Below are 8053 nucleotides of genomic sequence, written 5' to 3' on the forward strand. Positions count from 1 at the left end.
AAATTCTCTTCTACTCCTAAGTTTGCAGGGAATTCTTATCACGAATGAGTATTGGACTGCATGCAGTTTTGATTAGGGAATCATGTTTAATAGTACAAAGGAAAACAACTAGAAGAATAATGTTATTCACCAAAAATGAATGGTGAAAGAGAAAGGTTAAGGGACAGGTAATGAAACAGACTAATTTTATCATTGTTCATAGGAGAGAGTTAATAGAGGATCAATGGGTTTTACATTAAGACATCATTCTAAAATTGTCCCTAGAACAAAAGTGTAAAATTTCTTAGGTAACAAAAGAATGATATAGAAAAATTGCTTCTACATGTGAAAAAAATAAGAAAAATATCAAAATATGACAAAAGACCAAATATATAAAAATATTTTTAGATTAAAGAGCAAAATTAACCCTTTGTGTTGTAATGAATGTATTATTTGAATGTTTGTGATCTACTGAAATTAGAAAACCTGGGGTGGGACCCCCCAGTCTTTGTTTTAACCAGTCCTCCATGTGATTCTGAAACACACTCTTTGAAACCACCAGTCTAGAAAAAACACACATCTGCCCACAAAAGGACATCTATAAGTGTATTGCAGAATTATTTGTAGTCATACACAAATTAGAAGTATCCTAAGTCTTTATTAGTAGGCAGAATATATAAATAAATTCTGTCATAGTCTACAATAGAATGCTATACTGGAGTTAAAATGGTAATATGGATAAATCTAAAAAATAGAACACTAAATTGGCTGGGTGTGGTGGCTCACGCCTCTAATCCCACCACTTTGGGAGGCCAAGGTGGATGGATCACTTGAGGTCAGGAGTTCGAGAGCAGCCTGGCCAACGTGGTGAAACGTGTCTCTGTTACAAATACAAAAAATAGCCTGGTGTGGTGGTGGGTGCCTATAATCCCAGATACTGGGGAGGCTGAGGCAGGAGAATTGCTTGAACCTGGGAGGCAGAGTTTGCAGTGAGCTGAGATCATGCCACTGCACTCCAGCCTGGGTGACAGAGCAAGACCCAGTTTCAAAACAAAAAGCAAAAACAAAAAACCAAAATATAACACTAAGTTAAAAAATCAGGGCACAGACTTTTTTTTTTTTTGAGATGGAGTCTAGCTCTGTCACCCAGGCTGGAGTGCAGTGGTGCGATCTCAGCTCACTGCAAGCTCTGCCTCCCGGATTCACGCTATTCTCCTGCCTCAGCCTCCCAAGTAGCTGGGACTACAGGTGCCCACCACCACGCCCAGCTATTTTTTTCTATTTTTCAGTAGAGACGGGATTTCACTGTGTTAGCCTGGATGGTCTTGATCTCCTGACCTCGTGATCTGCCTGCCTCGGCCTCCTGAAGTGCTAGGATTACAGGCGTGAGCCACTGCGCCTGGCCCAGACTTTCTATAATAAGATACTCTTTATACGTATTAATCTGTTCTCATGCTGCTAATAAAGATATACCCGAGACTGGGTAATTTATAAAGGAAAGAGGTTTAATTGACTCACAGTTCCACATGGCTGGGGAGGCCTCACAATCATGGCAGAAGGCAAAGGAGGAGTAAAGTCATATCTTACATGGTGGCAGGCAAGAGTGTGTGCAGGGAAACTGTGCTTTATAAAACCATTAGATCTCATGAGACTTATTCACTATCAGGACAACAGCACAGGGAAGACCTACCCGCATGATTCAGTTAACTCCCACCAGGTCCCTCCCATGGCACATGGGAATTATGGGAGCTACAATTCAAGATGAGATGGGTGGGGACACACCCAAAGCATATCATTATAAAAAGTTTAAAAAATAGTATACTGAGTTTATGAATATTCACATTTGTCATCAAAGTATAAAATATGCATGTGAATAATAATATTGGGGGAACCAGCCCCCAATATTTCAACGTAGGTTCTTTTCTATTTTCCCTAAGTGTTGGCCAGTCTGAGAAATAAAGAGGAAGAGTACAAAGAGAGAAATTTTACAGCTGGGCCTCTGGGGGCGACATCACATATCAGCAGCTTCCGTGATGCCCACCTGAGCCGCAAAACCAGCAAGTTTTTATTAGGGATTTTAAAAGGGGAGGGGTGTACGAATAAGGAGTAGGTCACAGAGATTACATGCTTCAAAGGGCAATAAGAGATCACAAGGGCAGAGCAACATCACAAGGCAAGGGCGAAATTAGAATTACTGATGAGGGTCCATGTCCTGCTGGGCATGCATTGTCTTGATAAACATCTTAACAGGAAACAGGGTTCAAGAGCAGACAACCTGTCTGATTAGAATTCACCAGGCTGGAATTTTCCAATCTTAGTAAGCCTGAGGGCACTGCAGGAGACCAGGGCGTATTTCATCCCTTCTCTCAACTGCATAAGACAGACACTCCCAGAGTGGTCGTCTATAGGCCTACCCCTGGGAATGCATTCCTTCCCCAGGGTTATTCCTTGCTGGGAAAAGAATTCAGTGATATTTCTCTTATTCGCTTTCTGCAAGAAGAAAAATACGACTCTGTTCTGCCTGGCCCCGCAGGCAGTCAGACCTTATGGTTATCTTCCCTTGTTCCCTGAAGATCGCTGTTATTCTGTTCTTTTTTCAGGGTGCACTGATTTCATATTGTTCAAACACCCATGTTTTACAATCAGATTTCATATTGTTCAAACACACATGCTTTACAAACAATTTGTACAGTTAACGCAATCATCACAGGGTCCTGAGGTGACATATATCCTCAGTTTATGAAGATAACAGGATTAAGAGATTAAAGACCGTCATAAGAAATTATAAGAGTTTTGATTTTGCGAACTAATAAATGTCCATGAAATCTTCACAATTTATGTTCTTCTGCCACAGCTTCAGCTGGTCCCTCCATTCGGGGTCCCTGACTTCCTGCAACATAATAAGAACTAAATCAGAATAGCAGTTACTTCATGATGGGGAGGGCAGGAATGGGATCACGGGAGAGTTTTACAAAATAGTTCATTTCTATTTGTAAACTTATATTTGAAAACCTTTGTGGTGAGTACTCAGGTGGTTGTTATATTATTGTATAATATTTTTATGCTTGAAACATTCTATTAAAGAGAGAATAATTTTACATACAAAAATAGATTATATAGGGATATCTAGTGGGGACTAAGGCAAACTGAGAATCCATGCCCCATCCAAAGAGGACAAAGTCTACTCAGCGCCAGCCCATTTGTTACCATTTAGCAGTGCTCATCCAGTTGCAGATCTTTCCATTTTTCAAGCATAATAAAAAACTAGGATTGTTATATAAATACCTTAATATTTGAAAGTTTGTAAGTAATTGAAAAGAAATCCACAATGCAGATTGAACAAAGTGGGATTTAGCTAGCTTCAGTTAGTGGGTTACCAGTTTGCTGCTTCCTCTTTTATAGATATGTCAACTCTAAGGCATTAAAAGTTCAGGATAATTTCATCTGATTTCGTATTTGTCCTGTTCTACAGATATATTTGGGTTTATTAAATTGTATCAATGCTATAGTGTTTTAATGAACAATATTCTCCAACTTGTATGCAGGTGACTACAAAGTTTCAATGATGTCGGACATTAAATTCAAAGGGAACAATGGCAGGGCATAAGAGTAGAAGGGTGTAGACAAGGGCTGGATATTGTATTCTTGTATTACTTCACATGACTGTTCAAAGAGTCATATATTCTGAAAGAAGTGCTTCATATAACTTTAAGGAATATACACATATATACACACATATATATATATTTATTTGTGTAATGATAAACTCTGGCTGCCATATGTCTGTGGAACATCTGGATGACTTTGAATAAATGTTTTACTTTCCTTAAGGCTCTAGGTTTTCCCTGTGGAATGAGCCACATCTTGGCTCTCCTCCCACAGGCACTCAGCTCAATCCTAGATTCATTAATATTTGTTTAATTAATACATGAATTAACAAATGAGTAAATTATATATAAAGCAAAGAGCTTAGTCCAAAGGTATGCAAAGTTCACATTCTGTGATACATAATGCTATGAAAATATTTCTTCCCTATCTGTACAACCAGATCAACATTTATAAAATGCATTTTATAATAAAACCAGAAGATGGCAATAGAGTAACATAAATCTAAACACTACAGGCACTTCATAGTTTTATACAGCCTTTGTCCTTCAATATACTTGTATTGACTACTCTAACCCTTTGTCTCCAATTCCTATAAATACCTTACTATGAAAGTGGGCTGAAACATACACTTTCCTTAAAAAAAAAAAAATCAATAACAAAAACCCACATAGTAAAAGCATTCTCTTGCTGTGTGCAAAAGAATAGCAGGAGACTTTCTCACACAGGTAAGTTCTCAATTTAAGAAGTTTGTGAGAACACAAAATGAAGACTATCCAGAGAAATTGCCACACCCCAGATTAATTAAGATACATGTAATTGCTTTCAGCTCTAATTTCCGATATATAATATAACACAGTGGTTAAGTACTTGAGCTTATGCTGAAAGATTTGTTTATTTATTTGAGACAGCGTTTCACACTTGTTGCCCAGGCTGGAGTGCAATGGCGTGATCTCGTCTCACTGCAACCTCCGCCTCCCGGGTGCAGGCGATTCTCCTGCCTCCACCTCCCAAGTAGCTGGGACTACATACATATGCCACCATATATATGTTTTTTTTTCTTTTCTTTTCTTTCTTTCTTTTTTTTTTTTTTTTTGAGACTGATCTCACTCTGTCACCCAGGCTGGAGTGCAGTGGCACGATCTCGGCTCACTGCAAGCTCCGCCTCCCGGGTTCACACCATTCTCCTGCCTCGGCCTCCCGAGCAGCTGGGACTACAGGCACCTGCCACCACGCCCGGCTAATTTTTTGTATTTTTAGTAGAGACGGGGTTTCATCTTGTTAGCCAGGATGGTCTCGATCTCCTGACCTCGTGATCCACCTGCCTCAGGCTCCCAAAGTGCTGGGATTATAGGCGTGAGCCACCGTACCTGGCCTAATTTTGTATTTTTAATAGAGATGGGGTTTCACCATGTTAGTCAGGCTGGTCTCGAACTCCTGACCTCAGGTGTTCCACCACCTTGGGCTCCCAAAGTGCTGGGATTACAGGCATGAGCCACCGTGCCCAGCGTTTGCTGAAAAGATTTGGGTTTAATTCTGGTTTTTCCATTTACAGGCTCTGTGACCGTGGGCAAGTTTTTCTGACAATTTCCCCTTCTGTAAACTAGGATAATAATAATAGCTGTTATCTTGTGGTGACATGATAAGGATTAAATGAAATGACACATTTAGCTCAGTGTCTGACAAGTAATAGGAAGCTAAAAAATGTTAGCTATTATCCTTGACACTAAATTTGGATGAAAGAAAGTTGTTTTGTATTAATTTCGAAGGAAGGCTAAACATTGAGTGGTTTCAGAATAATTTTTGAAGTTTGTAAAGTAAATAATTGAAGCAAAGTAAAAGAGAACAATTTCCAGGAGCAGGTTGCAAGTTTCTATTCACTGTGGATGTTAACCAAGTACTACTTTTATATAAGAGCTAAGCAGACTGGTGTTTCATTTAGTTTCCCTTTCTTTGCCAAAGATTATTATTATCCTTAACACTCTGCATTCAATCTCCCCTAATCAGTTTATTAAGTAAATACAGGCCCAGTTCCATTTATTGATGATGTGGTTGGAGACTTAGCAGAACTATGTGAAGTGATCTTATTTGTGACTGCGATGGTGTTAAAAATATCAATAAACGGAGATCTTTCTATTGCTCAACCTGAGATATCCGGTATTCAATAGTAACATGGTTGTTATGCTTATGAAATTTTGCATTTTAACTTGCATAAAATAAAAACTGCATTCAGATGAGTAAAGGGGTTCCAATCTCTAACTTGAGAGAGAAATGTCATTAAGGATAACTTACCTTCTCAGAAGTCTGTGAGCTTGTAGAGAAAAACCAGCACCATAATTGACAACTTCTTTTATACCAGCTGAAGCAGACATGAGAGTCAGTGAAGTATAGTACACAGAATGATCACATTCACTGCCTTAGTAGACGTGACATTTCCTGGTCTACTGTCATTTTTTTCTCTTTGAAATCTAGACAGTATGAGTAATTGATGCTAAGTACTTGCATTTGAATACTAAAGTTCTACCAAGCCAGCACTTCTTATCTCTGGCTGCATATTAGTAACACCCAAGAGTTTTACAAATGTCAAAGCCAAGGGTCTCATTCCAGAGCTCTTAAATCAGAATTTCTGGAGGAAGGAACATAAATTATTTTTAAAAAATGTTTCCTAGGTATAGGCTGGGCACAGTGGCTCATGACTGTAATCCCAGAACTTTGGGAAGCTGAGATGGGCAGATCACTTGAGGTCAGGAGTTCGAGACCAGCCAGCCTGGCCAACATGGCAAAACCCTGTCTCTACTTAAAAAAAAAAAAAAAAAGAAAATTAGCCGGGCATGGTGGCACATGCCTGTAATCCCAGCTACTTGGGAGAATGAAGCAGGAGAATCGCTTGAACCGGGGAGGCAGACATTGCAGTGAGCTGAGATCATGCTACCGCACTCCAGCCTGGACCACGGAGAGAGACTCCATCACAAAAAGAAAAGTTTCCTAGGTGATTTTAATATTCTCCTCAGCTTCCCTTCCACACCTTTCAGAAGACAACCCCCTACTTTAGCAAATCAACTTCATCTAATGGGATTGCCTTAGTTTTCTACCGCTGTATTTCCTAATGAGCCTTTACTTTACAGATCCAGTTCTCTCTACTTGTCTCGAAGGCTGAAATGTCTTCACCACCACACTCCCCTACCCAAGGCTTTCTCCTCCACCTTAAACATACCTACCTCTTTCAGGATTGTGTTCCTTCAATTATCCTCTCTCATTTTGAGTTTTCAGTTCAGGCTTAACAAACTATTGAATGCCTCATAAGTGCCAGATGCGAGGACTACAAAAGAGAATGAGATAGTCAAGGAGGAGTCAAGAAAGGGACACAGAAATACAGACCTAATTATACTGTGTTATGATTTGGGCAACAAAGGAAACATGTAAAGAACATAGAAGTAGCAAAAAGGAAGGCGATTGCCAAATCTTTCTGTACCTAATTCCTTTTATACTGGAAAAAAAAATTAGTTTTGTTTATCCCAAATGGCAATAACCTTCCTTTGATTCTTAAATTAATTGTCCTATTTCCCATTTTTGCATTCATTTCCAAATTTCTTCAAAGGGTGACTTATATTTCATGCCTTCAGTTTCCCACACATTTCTTAACCTTCTCCATTCTGACATCTGTTTGTTCTGCTAATATTTTCTGGTGCTCACCTTTTTTGAAAATCTCATCAAATTATCACTTTCATCTAGAAAAGCAATATAAGTATGGATTTAGTATCTTGAAAATGAAAACAGTATCTTATTTTTTTTTAAATCCGCAGTGCTAAGTATGTTTTTAAAACCTCTAATGTTAGATTGATGCTTCTAATACGCTTAGATGTTAGATCACTTCAGTTTAACAATCTCCTAACTTTCAGTCTGTATTTCTAGTGGTCTGCTGATTATCTCTTCATGCTCTCAAAAATTAATTTTGTCCTAAACTATTTTTTCATTTATTCTCCTGAATTAATCCATTCATGTTTTCAACAAATATTGGCCGAATGACCACCAGCCACCAGGCACCACGCTAGTCACTAGGAATTCATTGGCAAATAAAGATGACGTAGTCCCCTTTTTCATAAAGATTACCCTCTAAGGAGGTTCTTGATTTATTATAGTATCACTACATTTTAGATATTTAGGCCTAAAATTTTAAAATAATAACTGACTTCTCATTCATTCAACAAATCCTTTATAGTTTATCTTCTCAATGGCTCAATACAGCTGAATCATTGTGATATTCTTCCAGAGCTCTTAAATCAGAATTTCTGGAGGAAGGAACATAAATTATTTTAAAAAAAATGTTTCCTAGGTGTAGGCTGGGCACAGTGGCTCAATTCAGTTCCTCTTCAATTTCTTAATTTTCTAAAAATATTCTTAGAGCCTCACTTTGAGCTCTTTACTTTTCTGTTCAAATAACTTCAGTAGTTTCATTTCACTTCTCTGT

At 38.5% G+C, this 8053-nt stretch overlaps 1 annotated feature.

Annotated features, from left to right (window-relative positions):
* Positions 1950-2517: an enhancer, noted in NCBI's record as "OCT4-NANOG hESC enhancer chr2:211111447-211112014 (GRCh37/hg19 assembly coordinates)". NCBI's record gives its function as "activates a minimal SCP1, AML or CMV promoter by ChIP-STARR-seq in naive H9 embryonic stem cells {active_cell/tissue: H9 hESC(naive)}" and the evidence as "EXISTENCE:reporter gene assay evidence [ECO:0000049][PMID:30033119]".

This window comes from Homo sapiens, chromosome 2 (genome assembly GCF_000001405.40).
Source record: "Homo sapiens chromosome 2, GRCh38.p14 Primary Assembly".
NCBI lineage: Eukaryota > Metazoa > Chordata > Mammalia > Primates > Hominidae > Homo > Homo sapiens.